The 22722-nt window shown below is 39.7% G+C and overlaps 1 long non-coding RNA gene across 1 annotated transcript; it reads left to right on the top strand.

The window, feature by feature from the left end:
• The first annotated feature begins 245 nt into the window (after positions 1-245).
• Positions 246-22304, top strand: LOC105372924 (uncharacterized). The gene is made up of 4 exons (XR_922605.2): positions 246-335; positions 3344-3431; positions 6124-6210; positions 21560-22304. It is a non-coding gene; the product is annotated as an uncharacterized LOC105372924 (long non-coding RNA).
• The last annotated feature ends 418 nt before the right edge of the window (positions 22305-22722 follow it).

The raw sequence follows: 22722 nt of genomic DNA, 5'->3' as shown, positions 1-22722 counted from the left end.
ACATATATATACATATATATACATATATGTATATATTTCCATCTCAAAAAATATATAAATATATATATATGCATTACAATGGAGAATATTGGTATTTAATCTAGGCCCACTTACCACCCTCCTAACCAGTTAATCCTGTCCCTCAGTAAAACTTCCTGTTCCATCATCCTTAGCCTGTTCTTATCTAAGAGTTGTTTTCCTCAATTGTCATAACTGAATTCATGCAACAAGGGAGGAGGGAAGAAGAAATCTTCTAGCTCATCTGCAGTTCTTTGCTTCCCACTTCATGCACCTCTAGATGCACTGGAATGCCACCTTTCAACCTGGCAGACCTGGTAAGAAGCTGCTCAATTTTTGCTTTGCAGAAATGTTGAAATGAGCAGTGATCCTGTCAGGGCAATGTTGTGGTGAGAGAAGAGCAGATAGAAAGGCTTTTTCTCAACCCAATCCCTATTGTACATAACCCTCATCTTCTCTGAACTGCTGCTCTCAGCTCTATCAGATTTCATTTATCTTCTCTTTCCAGGGGTTTCTCAAAGTTGCAGCATTATTTTCTCAGACTGGTCAATCTCACCCTCTTCTTACACTTGTGTTATATTCAGAGTTGAATTTAGGAGAGGAAGACAGAGTCTTACGTTATTTTGACATCTTGGCAGAAATGGGAAGTCTCCATAACACTTAAATAAGAATATCTTAGAAATCTCAGAGATCAGAGCTGCTCATTGTAATCACGAGAATTAAGAGTATCAAGTCTTTAAGGAAAACTAATCCTTTTATTTGTGATTGAAATGTCTTAGAAGTTAAGTGGCAAATTTTAGTTGAATGAATGAAAGAATGCACTGTGTGTTCTTTTGCACTAGAATATGTATGGTGGTGGAGAGGGTGGTATAAATGATCATGCTTTTCTGCTTTCATGTGTTTAGGGATATATGACTGGTCACTTCCATGTGTGACTACAAGAGATGTTGAGGAAATCACCCTAAGCCTTGCTTTGAAAATATTCAACTACAATAAAAAGTCATCTAACATTCTAATTTTTCATGAACATAAAAGAACAAAAAGAGAAAGTACATTCTCTTGTAACATGGAGAATGTTACATAGAGAAATTACTATCTACTCATTTAATGATCATGTATTAAGTCACATGCTAACACTATACCAGACAGTAGGATCACAAACATAAGTAAGCTATAGTGAATTCATAACCTAATATGAATCTATAATTTAAATACCATCCATACAATAATAAAGATACACACAGAAGGTCACTGGAGCCAATTGAAGGGAATCCCCAATTCCAACTACTGAAGTCAAAGAGTGGCTGAAAAGATCTCTGGGAAGAGTCATGGAGTCAGGTAAAACTCAGGGTATGTGGGGGATGATAAGTCACATGACGTGGCCAGAGTGCAGTGGCACAGAGACCAGGAGGATGGATGACAGGAACTTCTTAGGAAGCTGGAGACATAGATGGAGTCATAGGACAAACAAAGTTAGGTGCCATCACAAGGAATTTATATAAAACCTCTAGCCTAAGTTATAGAAAGTCTTAACATTTTTATAAGATAACTTTTTTCAGATGACCTAAATACGCTGGATTGTTTTTGTGTTGCATTGAGGTCAATCTCTTTGAAAGCCTGTGAAAAATGCTGAAGCTTTTGGCTTATTCAAATAATCAGCATCCTTAAGAAGTTAACATAATAGGGTGATATAAACATACACTATGCAGTCAGACGTAGAAGCTTGGCTGATTCATCTATTCAACAAGCTATGTGACCTTGGGCGTATGGTTTAAACCCTCTGAATATGAGTTATGAAGTGGTATCTTATTTCACGTGATCTTTAGGTGGTTTAAATGAGGTAGCCCAGTAGATGTGCAATAAATGTAAAATTTTGAAGAGAGGACCATTTAGTATATGGCTTATGTTATAAAACAATAGTTTAAAATGAAAAGGTTGATTATTCAACAAAATTATTTCTTTATTATCATATGGAGGCAACTTATATCACATATTTTTAGAAATGAGTTTGACACATTGTAGATGTTCAGTAAATCCTTGTAGAATTAATGAATATACATATTTTTTATAACTACCAGGTTGTTCTGGACTAGAAGGTCAGTATGATGCTGCCCAGTTAAATAATATAACTTATACAATTATATTTAAAAGTATTTTCAAGACAGTTGTGCTTCATTTTAATCTCTACAATATGTTTGTTTTGTTGTTGTTGTTGTTTCCAGAGGACATAATGTCTTACTTTTTTGTATAACTGAGGCTGAAAGATAGAGTTTGAATTTAAATCAAGGTTTCCCTGTACCCAAGTGTATGCCCTTGCCAATAGTCTCTCACAGTGCTTCTTCCTTTTCAATGTCTCAGGCCAAAGGGCCTTTTTGTGGAAACTTATTAGAATTCTTTTTTGTGGTTAAGTGATCTAGCAATGAAAGCTGTGTTGTCCTGGTTTCCTAAATCTCTGGGAGAGGAGTTATTCTGCGTGCAAAATGCATGCAGCTGTCAGAGCAATGGACTCTGGAATAGGCCAACAATCTTACAGTTAAAGACCAGATGTGATTGAAAGTGTCGACAAAAAGCGGAGTCACAGGGTCAAGTGCTGATTTTTCAGATCAATTTTTAAACCATCTCTGCTGATTAGGGCAATGGCAGGATCCATATATATTGTGGGGGAACAGAAGCTAACACAATTCATCTCAGCTTAGAAAAATTGTCTGTGAGGTATTCTTGATTCATCCCTTTTTTTTCCCTGCACATTTTAAAACATTTTGGAGGGGAACTGTGGGAATCATCTTCCCCAGAACACTGGCAGATCTTTTTTAATTCCATTAATGGAAGCTTGGTGCCAGTTCAAAATGCTTTGTTAAATATTATCCTAACTGGTGCCCCTGTTTCCAGCATTCCATTGGCAGAGTTTAGAACCCAGATCTCTATACAAACGTGTTAAAAGGTAGGAGTCATTTTTTCTTTCATCTGACTGTTATCTGGGAATTTCTGAACTCACAGTAGTTGTTGAATGGTACTGTCCTGCATGAAAGAATACAGGGAGGGAAGTTCCAGTTTGTTTTTTTTTGAGAGTCACAGGAAAGAGCTGTGGTTCTGGATAATTTCCCATGCTCATTCTTTTCAAAATGAGGAATCCTGAAACTCAGCTATAGTATAAAATTACTCAAATTCCAGTTTTCTTTCCAGAAAACAGACAAAGCAGAATATATTTTGCATTGATAAGTAGGCAAAAACAATTGTTTCTTCCCAATCTTGAATTTACATTGGTGTCTATGTACTATCCAATAATCTCACACGGCTTTCATCTCAATTGTGTGCACTTGGACAGAATGATACAAAAAGCTGGATTCACTAGTCCTTGGAAAGCTGAACGAGACCAGAATGATTCTCAAGAGGAAAAATCAAGCACACTAAAGGTGAATTCCTTCTATTTCTTTTATGAAAGAAAGGTTTCACAGGGGAAAAAAAATTGTATCTAGGCCATTCTTCCGTTTAAGGCCACCACCGGCTTTATTCATTTGGATAAAGATGCAAAGTAATTGTTAAAACTGAAATTTTAGAAAATTACACCTATTCTTCAGCATTTGTCTAACCAATTTCCTGAGGATGTATTTTCATATGATCTTGTCCTTTGTAAGCAAATGGGAATACATAATGAATGATTAGCAGTTCTAATCTTACACTGGGTTCCTTGTATCAATGCCACTGGCCATGAAAAGCCTGAGCTATTGAATGTGTAATGTTAATATGCAAGGTAAGGGAGACTCACACTTCACCTGACATGAAGGCTCCACCTTTATTTGAGAAAATATTCCTTACTTGGTAGCATGGCATACCTCCCTTTCAAGTAGCACAAACAATATTTAGACAGGCATTTTAACGCAGAGAACACAGTATCAACAAACAAGGGATCTGGGGTATACAAAACAAAACTGAGAGTTTCTCAATATTCCTTTCTTACATTTTAATCAAACGACTACATATATTTAGGTCTAATAGAAGATGGTAAATATAATGCTATTGGGATGAATGGGGATCCATGGTGATCACAGAGCCAGCACCCCAGCCTGAGGATGTCAGGACTACTTAACATAGAAGACTCATATAAGCTAGATCCTACATGATGAATAGCAGTTTTTCCAGCAGAGAAGAAAAGGAAAGTGTGGTGGACAGAATTTGAAGATGACTGCAATGACCTTGACTTTGTATAATTCCCTCCAATTGACAGTGCATGAAATCTGTGGATGTAATGAGATATTACTCCTGTGATTGCACTGTATCTATGGCAAAAGAAATTTTGCAGATGTAAGTAAGGTCTCTAATCAGTTGAGTTAATAAAAAGGTGGATATCTGGGTGGGCCTTATCTAATCAGTTGAACATTTAAAAGGGTCTGAGCCCTTCCTGAAGTCACAGAGATTGAAAGTGTGAGATGGTCTATGGTGGGGACCATGTGGCAAGGACCTGAAAGTAGCCTCTGAGAGCTGAGTGCAGATCCCAGACAATAGCTAGCAGTATCATGGGAACTTGGGTCCTACAGCTACAACAAGGGCACTAATTCTGCTGAGCATCTGAAACTGCTTGGAAACAGATCTTTCCTTATTCAAGGCTCCAGCTGACTCTGACAACTTGACTTCAGCCTTATGGAATACCAATCAGGGAACTCAGCTCTGCCTGGCCTGGACTTCTAGCCTACGTAAGAAAATAAATGGATGTTTTAGTCACTTAGCCATTGAGTGTTTTTTTAAGACACTACAGCAATAGAAAACTAAAACCAAAGAGAATCCTACAGAGAAATAATAGCATGGGCTATCTTGTAGGTGAGAAGGTACATGAGGAATGTGGTGGTGAGAGGTGAAGCCAGCTGGGCTTCTGGGTCGGGCGGGGACTTGGAGAACTTTTCTGTCTAGCTAGAGGATTGTAAATGCACCAGTCAGCACTCTGTGTCCAGCTAAAGGATTGTAAACGCACCAATCAGCACTCTGTAAAATGGATCAATCAGCACTCTGTAAAATGGACCAATCGGCAGGATGTGGGTGGGGCCAAATAAGGGAATAAAAGCAGGCCACCCGAGCCAGCAGCAACAACTGGCTCGGGTCCCCTTCCACGTTGTGGAAGCTTTGTTCTTTTGCTCTTTGCAATAAATCTTGCTGCTGCTCACTCTTTGGGTCCATGCCGCCTTTATGAGCTATAACACTCACTGCAAAGGTCTGCAGCTTCACTCCTGAAGTCAGCGAGACCACGAACCCACCAGAAGGAAGAAGCTCTGGACACATCCGAACATCAGAAGGAACAAACTCTGGACACACCATCTTTAAGAACTGCAACACTCACCACGAGGGGCTGCAGCTTCATTCTTGAAGTCAGCGAGACCAAGAACCCACCGGAAGGAACCAATTCCAGACACAGTAGGATGGCCAATGTCCCTTGCCACCAGTCAGACATCTCATGTTGAGGAATGACAGGAGATGAGATGAAAATTCAAGTTAGAGCTACTGTGTGAAAGGCCTGTAAGAAGGAGCATGACCGGCCAGGCGCGGTGGCTCATGCCTGTAATCCCAACACTTTGGGAGGCCGAGGCGGGTGGATCATGAGGTCAGGAGATTGAGACCATCCTGGCTAACATGGTGAAACTCCATCTCTACTAAAAAATACAAAAAAATTAGCGGGGCGTGGTGGCGGGTCCCTGTAGTCCCAGCTACTCTGGAGGCTGAGGCAGGAGAATAGCGTGAACCCAGGAGGCGGAGCGTGCAGTGAGCCAAGATCGCACCACTGCACTCCAGCCTGGGCGACAGAGCGAGACTTCTTCTCAAAAAGAAGGAGCATGATCAGATTTTAATCAAAGAAGGAAAATAATTAGATCTACATTTAGAAAAATAAGTGGTAGAAAAATAATTGAATTGGAGGAAGATAATTTGGAATACAGGCAGACCAATAAGAAAGCTATGGTAATAAGGCAGGAAGTGCTGAAGGCTTAAGGTCAGGCAGAGCTATAAAAATGAGAAAGAAAGGGTGCCTTCAAGGGGCATTTTAGTGACCAACCTGACTTTTTGTTTTCAACGTTATTTTAAATTCCTCTGAAAAACATAATAGAGCTGTGTTTCTTCTAGCTGGCGATGAAACCTCAAGGAATCATCTGCTGATAGAAACAATTCATCATAAACTGAGAAAACATCAAGTTGCTCAAATGAAAACAAGTAGGTATAAGCAAAATTACATAAGCTATATATGTATGTATATATATGTATATGTGTGTATATGTGTGTATATATATGTATATGTGTGTGTGTGTGTGTGTGTGTGTATATATATATATATATATATATAGAGAGAGAGAGAGAGAGAGAGAGAGAGAGAGAGAGAGAGACTCACTCTGTCCCCCAGCATGGAGTGCAGTGGTATGATCTCAGCTCAGTGCAACCCCTGCCTCCTGGGTTCAAGCAATTCTCCTGCCTCAGCCTTCCGAGTAGCTGAGACTACAGGCACACACCACCACACCCGGCTAATTTTTTTGTATTTTTAGTAGGGATGGGGTTTTGCCATGTTGGCCAGGCTGATCTCAAACTCCTAACCTCAAGTGATCTGCCTGCCTCAGTCTCCCAAAGTGCTAAGATTACAGGCGTGAGCCACCACACCTGGACAAGCCATATTTTTACTTAATTCTTTTTCATTGTATATAAGTTCTGTGTTCATAGCATAGTGATTTGGTTGATCCAGGGCACTAATTTAAGATAAAGTCAATAAACTATACATGGAATGGATATACATGTTTTATCTTGTCTAGCCTCCTGCTTTTAGACAGGCAAAATATTATTATTTGCATGAAGTAATTGAGGTTAAGGAGGCCAACTAACCTGTCACCAGGCCATCAGCAGACGGGAGAGGGTGACTAGAGGTTCATTTTGCGGACTCCTCCTTTTTTCCATTACACCATCAACAGCAGGCCAGGCAGGTGATAGCATTGAAGAATCTGGGAGACATGTTAGCTCCAAGGACAGGGTCAGAGGAGAAATTATGTGGATGGAAATTTCCAAGATGAGTCTGGGAATAATGCGAGCAATAATAAGCATTTTCATTCTTAACTCTCTGCTATATTTAAATTGAGTATATAGAGTCTACTGTATATTTTTGATTAAACAAGAAAACATCTCACCTTTTAATATAGAATCATTTGCCAGCTTTTGTTCAATTCTAACAGCTTTACAAAACGGACTCAGATTCAAAATTAAATAACTATGTTCAGTTTTTTTTCTTTTTTAATTAACTCAGGGTTGAGATTTAATTGTGCCCAGGGCTTTAACAACACTGCTGTGCTTATTGGCATAATCCCTAGAATCCAGATGTTGCATATACACACCATGATAACTCTTACTGTTATGACTTCATGTAGCGTTTTCCTTTCTTGTACCTAATCTTTTAAAAAGCCAAGCCTCGTTATTTTAGGTCCTTACCTAGACGAAACATTTGCTTTTGCACTTAAGTGCTGTCAGAAACACTATGGTTGGAACACAGCAGGGTAACCAATGTTACGGGGCTCCTTCCAGGCTTCCTTTGAAGTCACTAGGAGCAAGGTGCAAAGAAGGGACACTCTCTATGTGGAAGGGAGTGATAAGGATCAACATCCTAAACTAGGGTGAAAATATGTTCACTTCCGAAAATAATATGTCTTTGGTTTCCATTTATATTCAATGTTTGTAAGGATCCTGGACAAATTGCACAGGAGCTGTGCTTTGGTTCCCTGATGAATTGAGCATTTGTTGCCTTGGAAAAAGAATCCATCCTGTGGGGGTGTCAGTGGCTGCTGAATGAAGACCAGAAAGGATGAAGAATTGCAGATCAAGCCCTGGCCCCAGTTGGATGTGATTTCAGCGACGTGTGGTATTATTTTTCCTTTTTGTTTAATGGCCTCGTGCTTTTCTTCCCTGTTAGGATGTGGGGTAGAGCACATTCAACCCAGGCCTGCGCTCTTAGGATGCCTGAGAAGGGCACAGCAGGCTCCCTACTCTAGATGTGTGGCATTTTCCTGGGGCTCCCCAACAGCCGGTTGTGTTGTTTGTGGTTTTTCCAGGTGTTGCTAAGAAATTTCTCATTGAAACTCTCTAGAAACTTTAGAAAGGCCTTTTTTTTTTTTTTTTTTTTTTTTGGTGGATAATGCTATTCCTGGGGATGACTACAGGATTTATAACAGGAATCAACGTTTTGACCAGGTTCCAATATGAAGCAACGCAATCAGCTATAATCTGGCCTAACCCTAACAGAATATTACATCACCATTAACTTGGGAATTTTGTTTTTACATGTTTGGGCTTAATCATATTTAACCCCATCGATTTGGCCACACATGGGAAAAGCTCCCATTCACTTCCCTGCAAGTGCAGTCTGCGAAAGGAGCTGTGTTCAGTGTCCGCGTTGCCTTTGAGTCCACGTGCCTTTAAGGCAATTACAACATCTTTCCCCAATTCTGACCTTAGCACTGAGACAGTTCTGCCAAGATCCCACAAGCTACAGTACCCTGGGCTTGTTGCTGAGATCCTGTAAAGTCATTCCCCTGGCACAGCTACAGAAAGACCCACACAGCCACACCCAGGACACAGCAGGCCCAGAGTGCTCATCTCTGCCCATTGTCCCAAGCCATCAAAAGAGAACACATGAAATCTAGAATCCTCAAAGAGAAGAATAGGGGAGGAGAACCATGGCACAAATGGGCAATGTTCCGTTCATCCATTAATGTCCCACATTGCATCATCTTTTGGAAGCCTTATTCACTCCTCCCTCACGCCCACCCTCTGTTTGTTGACATATAGTTTTATGATTTCCTGTGTCACAGAACTTACCACACTTCATTGTGCTTACATATCTTTCTCCTCCACTGGACTTTAATCTTCTTGAAGACAGTGATTGTCCTGATTTATCTAATCAAGCCACATTAATTGAGTGCCTGCTGTATACCAGAAATTTTTCTAGGTGTTGGAGACCCAGTTGTGAATAAGGCAGGCAGGGTATCCACTCTAGAAGAACTCAATTCTGCTGAGGGAGACAAATATATAGGCATTTTTTTCTAAATACTTTTTGTATTCCCAGATTATAACACAATGCTGATCATATAGTCAGAGTATAAATATATATATTAATTTTTTAATAAGTGAATGAACATATAACACAAGATGTTTACAAGATAAGATGCCTTTTAAGTATGGACTAAGTACTTTCAATTTTTTCTGCAATACTATATGGAAGTATTAGCCTCTTCGCACCTGTCTGCAGGCTACTGGAAGACCCACTAAACTGGTTCATAGAAGCGTCACAAGGTTTAGGACAATCCACAGGGATGGCTGTGGTGCTTGCCTTTCACCCTGCCCAGTAGGCATATCTGAGAGGGTTGTATGGTCCTATGACCAGGCTGAAGCAAGTGACCTATGAGTGGCACCATGGATGACATGGGAATGACAAAGCCCACAAGGAAGCCCCTGCTGTCACTCTTTCACCTTGCTGGGTTTCTAACTTTCGAGATCTGAGTCCCAACAGAATGTTCCCATATTCTGTATGCCAGTCCACCTAACAGAACTTGAGGTTCTGCATTGATTGAGTCCTTTCATTAGGAGTGATTCATCTTACAATCTTTCAGAATCCACATGCCATCACTTCCTGTTGTAGTGGATATCTATGTGCTGCCAGTGTCTTCTTTTGAAATCTGCCTCTTGCTTTCTCTAAGTGACCCAGGTGGGGCTGTTAATAGCCATATGGCTTCCTTGTCACAGGTTTGGTGGGTGTGGAGGAGATGCTGACTTAAGAAGTCTTTTTCAGGAACTGTTATGGATTCTGGAAGAGTGACTGTGCTTTTCCCTCTGAAGCCATGATCTCTAGGGAGATGTAAACAGTACTTATAACGCAATCAAATGAAATTATTTTTGTTTTCCATTATCCCTTCAAAATTTTATCTGACCTAGATAAAACTTTTTGTTGGCCAATTTTCGGATTATACATTGGTCCTAGAGTTACTTGAAGTCACCAATACAGTCCCAATTTAGAAATTACAATGCTGAGTCCAAAATGTTAATGACAACTTTAAACTTGATTTAAAGTAAAATATTCTCCTATTCCCCAACTTAGGCCTGCTTCCGGCTGGGAGGCGGCAGGGAATAGGGGTGGGGAGGAATGACATGGTTGACTTTTTTTTTTTGCATTTCTCTACCATATTTCTCTATTTTCCTAACGGCTCAATCCCCAAGCTTGTTAAGTAGTTTCTGATCCCTTTGAGATCAGAGTGATGGGTGGAGAAGAAGGGATGCTAACAAGTGAGAAAGACCTCTACTTAAAATGATTCTAAACTAAGCTGTCTTCATGCTATCTGGGTACCTCTCGCAGGTACTTTCAAAGTACCTTCGAATATTCCCAATATTGGAAAGCTATTTTCTGTCATTCCTCTGACTCATTTTGATGAATTTCTTGTGAGTCCCTCTGCAGACCCTAAGAACGTGCCATTCACCTCCAGTTTCTTGCTGTTGGGGTTACCCCCACCCTTCTTTGTGACCTTCTTGGGAAAGACCCAGGTTGAGCCCACACTGGCTCTTCTCTTACCTGGCCTTCCTCTAGGCCTTAGGAACACTGACACATCTCTTACGTCAGCAAACTCTGTGAGGGTCGGCCAATCTTAGTGCAGCTCCTCTACCCTGCTGTCATGGTGTCTGTAGCTTGGTCAGCTGTGACTTGCATATCAGTTGTCTATGTCTCTCAATTTAGAGAGCTCTCAGAGATGAATTCTCACTGGGCTTGAAATGAAAGAGGTATCTCATATGAAGAGGTGACAACATGAAGAAGAGTTACTGCCACACACACACACATGTGCACACACACACACACCCCCAACCTCTTTAAAAAAATCCTTCCCCTCTTCACAGTCACAACTTCTCCATAACCCCATCCTTTTAAAAACCTTCACCTGTCAGGAGAATCCAAGAGTGGTTAGAACTGGCTCTCTGTCCTTTACTTTGTAAATTCTGCATGGCATAATCTGGCACTGGAATCCACCTTTAATTTACCTTGGTGGCTCACTGGAAACAGCTTGAAAATTTTACAGATAATATATGGCCTAGAGAGGTCAAGGATCCTATGGAGAGATCCTATTTGAGAAGACAGACCAAACAGTTCAGAGACAGAAACAAAGACTTGCCTCTATCTGACATCTTCTGGGGCCCTAGATCTAGCACTTACTTGGAACTGTAAGTGCCTCTATGACCTCTCATATAATAACCCTATTTAGCCTCTGTTGATTTGCATTAGGTTTCTATTACTTTTGACTGGAAGGAATCCTTCTTAATGCCCCCATTCTTTTCCACATAGCCTATGAGCCAGGTCAACCAGACCCATCTCTGACTTCTGAATTTACCCCATGCTTTCCTCTCTCCACTTTTTTGTTTCAATATTTCCTTTTCAGGGAATACTCACTCCCTTCACTCCACTGCATATAGCCCCTTATGCAGCAGAGAGGAATAATTACTACTTTCATGCTTGTACATGAGTGGGGAACTCATGTGCACACACCAAGCAAAATAATGGGTAGATGACTGCCTTTGCCTTATAGGAACAGGGAATGCTTATCTCAGTGGTAGTTGGTTCTTTGTATAGCAAAAGAGCTTACCAGGCTGTTCTGTTAAAAGTTGAGGCCACTAGCCAGGCGTGGTGGCTCACACCTGTAATCCCAGCACTTTGGGAGGCTGAGGCAGGTGGATCACCTGAGGTCAGGAGTTCGAGACCAGCCTGGCCAAAATGGCGAAACCCTGTCTCTATGAGAAATACAAAATTAGCAGGGTGTGGTGGCGCACACCTGTAATCTCAGCTACTTGGGAGACTGAAGCAGGAGGATCGCTTGAACCTGGGAGGCGGAGGTTGCAGTGAACCGAGATTGTGCCACTGAACTCCAGCCTGGGTGACAAAGAGAGACTCCATCTCAAAAAAAAAAAAAAAAAATTGAGGCCACTGAGTCTGGTCTGGGAGGAGAGTATTAAAAACATGAGAAACCAAATTGTTTTGCATTTAAAATGGGATAGAAATCTAGGAGTTAGCTGCTGAGAAGTAGAGAAAAAAATTGAGTCCAAAGGAAGAAGTTTCTGAAAGACAAGTGAAAGATGTAGCAGGAACTCCTAGTTCTTCACCAACATTTATTCTCACCTTCTTTTGTAGTAAAGGAAATTGGGATAAACGAGTGGCCACCTGTGTTGGTACTACATTTCCCAGACTCCTTGAGGTTAGTTTGGTCTTATGACTGAATTCTCACCCAGGGAATGTGAGCAAAAGTAGGGTGTGCCGCTCCTGAGCCAGAGCCATAGACAGTAGGCAATATCTTCCCCTTTCATACTGGATGTAACCACTGGGGTGTGCCAGCCTTGGCCATGTAAACAATACAAGACACAGAGACCAGCAAAGCAACAACTCACTAACAGCCAGGTCCCTGAATGATTATATGGAGCAGAACCAAAGGCTAGCCTGGAAACCTTAATTCAGACTGCTATGTGAAAAAGAAAGTTTTTTAGTTCTTCGAGTCATAACATCAGGAGACATTTTACTTTTTATTACATCAGCCTTCTCTAACTCTAGCTGTGGCCCCAGATTAATGACAAGTGGCATCCTAAATAGAAAGGCTAGTAAGATATCTCCTGTGGCTGAGAAGACCACAGAAATTGGATGAGGAATATATTTAGTAGCCCATTCTCACACTGATATAAGGAAATACCTGAAACTGGGTAATTTATAAAGAAAAGAGGTTTAATTGGCTCCTGGTTCTGCTGGTTGCACAGGCTTCTGCTTCTGGGAGGCTGCGGGAAACTTATAATCATGGCAGAAGGCTAAGGGGACGTAAGCACGTCTTTGTATGGCCAGCAGCAGATAAGAGGTAAGGGGGAGGTGCTATACACTATTAAAGAAGCAGATCTCGGAGAACTCTATCACAAGAACAGCAAGGGAGAAGTCCACCCCCATGATTCAGTCACTTCTCACCAGGCCCCTCATTCAACACTGGGAATTAAAATTCGACATGAGATACCATGTCAATATATGGTATAAAATCTAAGATGTTGCCACTTCTGTGCCATGTTGCAACTCTTCTTGGTGGCCTTAAAATCTGAATGTTGAACAGCTTTATATCAGTGGTATCTTGAGAAACTGAGAACCACATTGATGTAGGGCTGGAAAAAAATTGCTTGAGAAGATGAGACACAGAAGAGACTGAGAAGTCAGTGGAAGCGAGACATTATAGGTAATGGTGATCAAAGGACACATAGACCCTTAAAGACCTCTGAGGTATGCTGAGGAAGGGTACTAGACCTTGTACTATATGCAAGATGGGGATTCAAGACAGTTTTCTCAATTCTTGAAAAATAGCCTCAGAATGTTGGGAGATGAGATCAGACAGATGACAGACACTTAAATTACATCCTTCCCTGTCATTTAAATCCTCCTTGCATTTCAGCCTTCAATTCAAATGTCACTTCCTTCATAAAGTGGCACAAAATGTGGCATCTGGACTCTTGGATCAGCATGAAAGGGGATACTTTGGGGGTTTTCTACCAAGTTCCATGGACAGGATGCCTGGTCTGTAATGGGTAGCCCTACACGGCAAATATGGCATTCAGCTTTGCATCATTATAAATTAAAAATGCAATTTATGAAACGAGTCTTTTGCTAAGGATAGGTTGGTTTATGAAGTACCATCATGGCCTATCATCAGAAGGTCTCAAAATGGCCATGCCTTTATCTTATTATTTTCTTTCAGTATAAATTTGAACTTTCATTGTACCAATGGGTATAATAAATACCTCCCATCTGAGGGTGTACTAGCCTAAATCAGTGTCAGAAAGATGACCTCAAATTCCTAGAGCCTCTACCATAGATGTGAAATTCTAAATACAAAGTTTCTGGGTTTTTTTCCCCCCCTTTCAGGAAAGAACTCCCATTTCACTTTCCTCAGCAGTGGAATAAGTGGCTCAAAACAGCAACTACTGATGAAAACTCAATTTCCAAATACATTCCATGGCTTATTTGTGGACGGAAATGTTCTTTACCTTTTGAACTTTCAGATAGCTGGCAAAAGTAAATGCGCAAGCCTTTTTTTGTTGTTGTTAATTAAACAGGAAAAAATATCACACCCTGGCTTGGCTAGTAACCAAAGTCAGGGGTTTCTGAAGAATCACTTCACAGATGGGAGGCTGGATGACAGATACAAAGACCAGGCATGGTGCTCATAAAGGTGACACTCTTGGTATCTTCCTAGAAACCAGCAGAAGCCAGAGCTTCTGGAAGGGAGTGATGAGGAGGAGTGTAAACGATTCATTTACTCTGTGTATCATAACCTTGCACCTTATTGACTATAAATCAGAATCGTTTGAAAAATCACCACATCCCTTTTCTGTCTGGGCCTGTGAAATTGCTTCCTTTAATCCAGCAGAGAGATGCCTGTGGTTTCAGAGCTCTGGGATGTTCCATTCCATGTGCCACATGCATGTGGTTAGTTAATGACCTGGGTGTCTACTGAGGTTTGTGACCACGGATTGTTGCAAAGCTCTACCTGACTCCATTCTTCTCCTGGAGAAGATGAGAACATTCTTACCATATTAGTCATGCCAAGCCTCCACTTTTTTTGAATACACAGGAAATGTTTCTCTCCAACAGCACATAATTTGGCCAATAGCAGCTTCCTAGGTTCGGAGCAACTTCACCACCTATCATGAGTTCTCCAAGATAAAGTTTGTAGTAACAGTTTTAGCGGTGGAAATGTCACCAAGTTGCATAAACTCAAGACATGCTTTGGCATTCAGTCACTCTGCAAATATTTATTGAACAGAGTTCACTGGGGTCAATAGGATGAAGTGGATAGCAGTTATTTCTCCTCCCTAGAATTTCCCCATGACACACACCAAGTCACACAGGCACTATTTTGTTCTTAAAGGAGTATTTTAATATTGAATTATGGGCAGCAGTGCGAGCAGCACCACTCTTCTTATATTAAAGAGATGAAGATTAGAATGGCCACAAAGTTGGACATGAGATCCAGATGGTGCTATTTGGGGGCTGAAATGTACCCCCATGGCATCAGGACAAACAACTGCCAAAGCCAAGCTCCCAGTGCTAATGAATTTGTAAACAAGATCATGCACAGTCCTCCTAATTAATATTTTGTCATTTGGAACCTGACTATAGCCTGCCAGACAGGAAATCCAAGTCTGAAGCCATCTACATAATTCAAAAGAGCCAGTTAAAAAAACAGAAGGTAGAGGAAAGAGGTGTCATAGTCCACACAAAGCCAGTCAGTTTGTTACTGGGTAAAAATTGGTGAGTCATCTGTGACGGTCAGTTTTAGGTGTCAACTTGGCCAGGCTATGGTACCCAGTTATTCAGGCAGACACTAATCGAGGTGATGCTATAAAGCTATATGGTAGATATGATGCTGTAAATGTATTTGGTAGTCATCTACACTCAAGTTGACTTTATGTGAATGAAATTATCCTAGATTTTCTGGGTGGAAATGATCCAATTAGTTGAAAGGCCTTAAGAACAGCACTGAGGTCTCTCTGAAGAAGTTCTACCTGTGGACTGGAGCATCAGCTCCTGCTCAGGAGTTTCTAGCTTGCTCTATGGATTTAGAACTTGGAAATTTTTCTGTTTTGTTCACTATTGTATCCCTAGTACCGGCCCAATAGGCAATCCATTAATATCTATTGAATGAATGAATACATGAGCTTAATTCCATGGTAAAGTCAGCCAAGTATGTGAGGTGGTATTATTTAGATAAAACAGTTGACGTCCTAAATTTTAATTTTCTGCCAGTTTCCCCCGCTCTCACACACACACACACAGATACTCTCTCAAATGTACTCACTTGTGATCAAACCTTGTTCAGTCTTTCTCCCCCTCTACTTTTCTGCACAGTGGACATATTGGTCACATTTTCCCTATTGAGAACCTCTCTTCTTTCATAATTCTGTGCTGCTCATCCAACAAACTCCATCTCTACAGTTACCTTTTCTATGAATTATTCTAAGATTTCCTTAATAGAAGTTGTCTTGGTATCTCCTGAAAGCCTCAAAGCATGTGTCATCTCTGCTGTTCATGGGACACATAGCATTGATTGCCTCCTTCTGCAACTACATATCTAATAGATTGCTGCAAAAGTAATTGCAGCTTTTGCATTAAAAGTAGTGGCAAAACTGCAATGACTTTTGCACCAACCTAATAAACGCCAATGCATTCTGAGGAGATCATCTGTGCCCTATGCATTCCTGACTCCCTGCAGCAGCTGGCACAGTGTTCCATAATGGCAGATTTCTAATTCATATTTGCTGGAGAAATGAGTAGATATATATCCTTAGTTACCTGCTTTTTCAGTGAAATGAAGGAAGAAGAGTAAAAAGAATCAAGATGCTGAAAAAACTGAGAAACAGAGAGAGGAGAGCAAAGCAACACAAGGCTTTCATATTCTGACCTGCTCAGCCTCATCTCCTTAGCCTATCACCTCATGTACCAGAGTCTTTTTTGACAATGGGGTTTCCATTCTAAGAAGGTATTCTGTTTTTGTCTCTAAAATATTATAAATGGGAAGAATTAGGAAAGAAAGATTGAAATTTGATTTTACTTTTCTTATCCATACTTGTTTTGCATCGTAGCATTTATCACCATCTGTGGTATATTTATCGGTACATTGTCTTTCCTACTGGACTATAACATCTTTGGAAGTGATGACTTAGTATATTTGTTCACCACAAATTCCCCAATGCCTAGAACAATATCTAGAATAAATAAGGGCTCACTAGGTATTTTGAATGAATGAATAAAATTATTTAACCAAAGCAGTTAGTCATATCAGTGTTTGTTTTGCCAAATTTGTTTATTTTCTCAAAAGGGGTTAATATTCTCCTTCCGTAAGTCTGATTGAAAACTGTTATTTAGTCACAACCCATTTTTTCTAAGTATACTGTCAAACCCCTTAGATACTTCAATTGCAGGGCCATGAGGCAGGATCATACTGGCTCCCGCATGTATAGACGCAGATGTAGTGTCTTCCATATTTTCAGACCTTGACCAACTATTCCTAGGAAAATTTTTAAAGGTTTTTTTGTTTTGGAAAGCAATTAGCAAAATAGCTTTAAGCCAAATTCTGGAGTGGATGGTGCTTGATGGTTGAATAACATGAAGGTACTTACTGCCACTGAACTGTGCACTTAAAAATGGCTAGAATGGTAAATTTTACGTAATGTATATTTTACTGCCATTAAAAAATAAATAATAAAAAATTAATTAAACAAATTTAAGCCCACTTGTATTATGACTTGAGCTATTTTCCTCCTGTGTAAACTAGCTAGCTAAAAATTCAGACAGTAAGATTCCCTCATCAAAGTGAACAAGAAGCAAATCTCCCTTGCTTGCCTCTCTCTATGCTGGAATTCATGTGCCTTTCCCCAGTTTGACCCCAGCCTGAGATATAGACATGTTATTGAACAATGACTTGACTTTTCAAAACAACATAATAAGTTTCTACCATTACAGCCCCTATATTGCATCCATTTATTTTCCAAAACCTCTTGAACAAAGAGTACTGCTTCATATCATGTTTACGTTCAATAACATGAATGTATAGTAGACTTTGAAACAGTCCATAATTTTATACTGAAGGCTGCCATCTGAGGGAATCTCAGCATTCTTCTACAGTTATTTATTAGTTCCTACATTTATTGCTTTTTCAAAACTCAGAAATAATGGTGAAATTTAAAACAGCTTAATTAAACTTCAAATGTGTGGTTCTGATAAGCCTGGCCCAGAGCCATGGCATTCCAAGATTCTCAAATAGCATAATCTAATTAATTTTTTTTCTAGAACACAGAAGTCATAAACACACAGTAATCTGAAGCACTTAGTGTCCTGCCAGCTGGCATCTTCTCATTTCCAGTTTCCCTGCACTGTAATTTTGCTGCCATTTGTGAGAAACTGTGGATTTCTCCACTTTGGTAGATTGTATTAAGTTACGTGCTATTCAGTTGAGGTATTTTTTAATGAACTAATTACATGTTAGTTAATAAGAAAACATTGCTTCAACAGTCAACTGTTGAATATCACTTTTAAAGAAATTACTTCAGTCTTACAGTAGGAATGTCTGGGAACAGGATTGACCCATGAAAACAGCATGATTGCTAGCAGTGAATTATTGAGTTATAAATACATGTATGAGTACTGGATATCATTATTATTAGCAATAACAACATCAACAACAAAGACATCTATGAAATTCAAATTTTAGTTTTTCCTGCCAAAATAATGTTTTCCATTAATGTTGTCCATGTCTCATTTTATCAGTGCATAATAACTGAAAGGCAGTGAGATATACTAGGCGGGTCCATTGCAAGACTCCAATCCAATGTTCTGGCTGTAAGGGTGATAGAGGTGGTTGCACTCTATGCTGTTCACTTTTAAAGTTTGCTCCTAATTCTTCCACATCTAATTCTAGATCTGATGAATAATAATCTCTTCATTGTGTTCAGATCAGTGATGATTTCGTAGACACTGATCCTCTCCCCTTTATGGCAGCATTGATCTTTCTGGATGTGCTGGTTCTGGACCTGTTTGTCTTCAAATCCATTTCTCACCCTCCCCTGCTTTGCTTTGCTTTGCTTTGCTTTGCTTTGCTTTGCTTTGCTTTGCTTTGCTTTGCTTTGCTTTGCTTTGCTTTGCAGAGCCGGGTTTCCCAGGCTCCTACATCACTGGCTTTTCCCTGGACTCATCCTATGAGAAAGAAACACTGGTAGGAGTTTGGAGGGTACAAGAAATGGAGGGAAGGCCAGGCCACTTCTCTTCCTGCCTCTCATGACATCTTTGGGCAGCAGCTGCATCTCTCCCTCTCGCCTAGTAGGCTTCCCACACTTCATGTGTCCAGCTCAGAGGTGGCAGCGTCTTCCTGCCACTGCTAATTTCTGAGTTCTTTCATTGTCCCATTAGGCTTCCTAGCTCTTCTATCACCAGTGTAGCCAATTCCCTGCATTAAAGTCCTCTTGTTCTAAATATTCAATGGCTTTTATTTCCTGGCAGACTATGACTGAGATTTCAGACTAAAAATCATTCTCCTAAGGCTATATCCATTTTTCTTTCATTGCAGATGCTTATTTATCATTTCTTGGTTACAACTTTTTGATGTAGAATTGCATAGAATATTTTTCTTCCTCTCTTAAAGAACACTTTGGATTTGGGAGGAGAGAGAAAAGTATAATGGGTGGATGAGCAGTTATTTATAAGGTACTATAATTTCTGCCTGACTTTCTATATCCTGGGGTTCACTGTTCCCACACAGCAAGGCACACATTTTTGTTGAGGGACATGATGTCATCTTGCACATTTTGTTACAAACAGGTTTAATAATGCATTGTTGCATCTTAAAGCCTGCGATGGAATGCTCTGCTCCTGCAGCCAAACTCAGGATCCATCTGGTAGACCTGTTAGTCAACGACCCCAAGAGCTCAGCACATTTCTGCCTGTTGAAATAGAACAGAAATGACTCCGACAGACTTAAGGCTCAGTTTTAAAACACAGCCATGATGTCATCAGTATGAAGGTTTTCTCTCTGTGTCTCTTCTTTATCTACTATTTTTTCTTTCTTTCTCCTCCTCCTCATTCCTCAAACCTTACCTGAGATCAAGTAGCTTAAAAACATTACATATATATGCTAAAAAATATTGGCATTTTTCATACACCAAGCAATTTGAAACCTTGTCTATCATTGTCCACCTAAGGGCTTAGCAGTTACAGAGAAGGATGCATCATTGAGACAACTTGGTCCGTTGTGGGATACACACGAGTTTTAAAGTGTATAAAAATGTACACTTCATAAATCTCATTAATTGCTGGTCACCACTTTTCCAATCTAAAAACTATATTGTTCTTGCTTCTGCCAACAATGTCTTAGCCATAGTCAATATTTCCTGAATTCTCCATAAAAGTGCTGACATCTCTTTTGTTGCTCGTGTTGTTCTTCCTCATTGGTTTCACTGAAAAATCTGACATCGTTCAAAGTCCTTCACAAATGTTACTTTCTCTGAAAGCGTCCCAGATCCTCCAGGGAAAGAAAGAAGATTAATCACATGCATACAACTGACCCTAAATCAATAGTGTATAGCTAGATGTATATAATCTTAACGGAAAAGAAGAACGAGAGAGAAGAAACAAATTTAGGAGCTAGGAAGTAGATGAATTCATGGTAAATGACTTAGATACCCAAGGAATGGAACTACTAAGTCACCAGTAGGGAAAACTAAAAATCAGCCCAGATTTATGCCGCATGATCCCCAAACGCACAACATGTGGCCTTATCACGTACCTTGAGAAGTGAGAGTGAAAGAGAGTAAATAAAGAAGATTAACTCAAAGTATTTTTTTAAGAAATAGACATCATCAATTCCCTAGCTCACTATGCCAGGCTGTCTGTCCTTTCCCAGTTTATTGTCTAAAAAGTATGAAACACCAGGCCTTAAGTGGCAGCAGGCATAGTTGATGGTGTGGGTATCTTAATGAAAAAAGTCATTTTATGCATACTGAAAGTAAACACCCCTAGCTCTCTGTGTCCACTTTGCTCCCAGAACATTAGCGGCCAGGCAAGAAGTGAAAAAAATCTTCCTTGGGAAATATTTCTTTGCTAAAAAGAAAGCTATAAAGGTATTGACGGCAGAGATTTCCTATTAAAATTGTCCAGCCAAATCACTCTACAGTGAAACTGACAATTTACAGTCCCCATTCATGCACTCAGAACATCAAATCAGCTTAAGAGTGTCCTGCCCTTAAGTATAAAATTTACCAGACCTTTGAGGAAAGCTTCCTAAGTGGTATATATAGAACAGAAAAGAAACCTTTTCCCCTTGTGCACACATATCACACAAAACAACTTGGTTGAGAAAAAAACTTGCAGACAGAAGAAAACTTCAGTAACTCCAAAAGCTTTTATTAATATCATCAGGGAGATAAAAATTAATGTAATCATGTAATAAGAACCAGAGATTTTGTTTGAAAAAAAGAAGCAAAAGAGAAAGGAAGAAGTTGTAAATAGAAGAGAAAAATATCAACATAAGAGGACCCATACAAGTGGTCCAAAATTCAAAAAGCAAGAGGTCTAAAAGGAAATGAGAAAAGGAAAGCATCAGTGAAATTATTCGAGAAAAGTTTCCATAATGGAAAGATACGTTGAAACAGCCTGCCAACTGCCTAGAAAAATAAATAAAAATAGACTCATACTGAGGCAACTCATTGTGAAATTTCAACAAAGAGAAGATCCTGAAAGTTTCCAAAGATGAAAAAACAATTAGGTCACATATGAAGGATCGGGAATCAGAAAGACTCTGGACTTCCCAGCAACTCTGAAAAGAAGAAATCAATAAAGCAACACCTTCAAAATTCTGAAGGAAAATTATTTTTGATCTAGATATATGAACCCTGACAAACTATCAATTAAGTATGAGAGTAAAATAAAGAGATTGTCAGATCTGCAATGTCTCAAAATTCTCTCTCCATTTTTCTCTTGCAGAAAACTACTGGAGCATGCGGTCATTCGAAGAAGATGGGTCACTAAAAGAAGATGTGAGATGCAAGCACTAGGGGACTGAAGACCAGAGAAAGGCAAAAGGAATCCTCAGGTTGTCTGTGCAGAGACCCCAAGATAGAGCTATGTCCCAGGCATGGAACAACCAGCAGTATGAGTAGCTCAGAAGACTTCGGGAGAAAATGTGGAAGATGAAATTAAATGGCAATCTAATGATCCTGAATTTTTAAAGAAAAGATTGACACAATGAATACAGTATTTTGGGTTGAATTAGTGATAAGTACATATATAATAAAGTAAATTTAAAGATAAAAATATATTAATTGTGGGGAAAATACAAAGATGTACAGGAAAGGAAAAGTAACCATATTTTATATGACTCAGCTGGGAATACAGTTTTCATAGCCACAGTAACAGAATATTAGCTTTAACCAAAAACACCACATTATTATATCGGGAGGATGAAGAAGGAAAGGATGCATGTGTATGGAAAAAAAAAAGGAGCTAAATGGTCATCTTCCATAAGGGAAAGTCAATAGATAAAGCCTAAAACTGGAAAATTAAGAAATAGCAATATAACCATGCCATGCAGAGACATGGAAATGAATAGTACGATAACCACCTAAAAAAGGTGACAATGACTGTTCTGGAGAAAGAGACACTGTAGAACAAGAGCTGCAAAATGCTAGGCTTTTAAAAAAATTTTATAAATCTTACAGAATTGTTTGAATGTTTACATTATATGATGTATAACATTGGTCCAAAAAAATCACTGTCAGGCAAATTTAATTGTTCATTCCTCTTTCACCATAGTGCATTGCTCAATTAGGGGCCCACCTATCATGCTTGGATAAGGCTGCCTGGGTGTCTATCTCCTAATAGATTGTGGGCTTGTTTAGGGCAAGTGTGTTTCCTTGCCTAGCATGATGCCTGACACAGAGTTGGCAATAAAAAAGTACTTGTGAAAGGATTGTTGTGGAATTCTTGGCCCTAATTCTACCATATGGCATTATGGAAATCAAGTCTAATTCCTCTTCCAAATGAAAAAGTCCAAATATTTTAATGCAGTTACCATACCTGCTCTTAAAGCTTCTCTTCACTAAAAATTCTCAATATGTCTATAATTTGTGGGTCATTTTTAAAGTTCA

The sequence above is a fragment of the Homo sapiens genome, chromosome 1, assembly GCF_000001405.40.
Source record: "Homo sapiens chromosome 1, GRCh38.p14 Primary Assembly".
Classification (NCBI taxonomy): Eukaryota; Metazoa; Chordata; class Mammalia; order Primates; family Hominidae; genus Homo; species Homo sapiens.
This window is presented reverse-complemented; position numbering and strand designations above follow the sequence as displayed.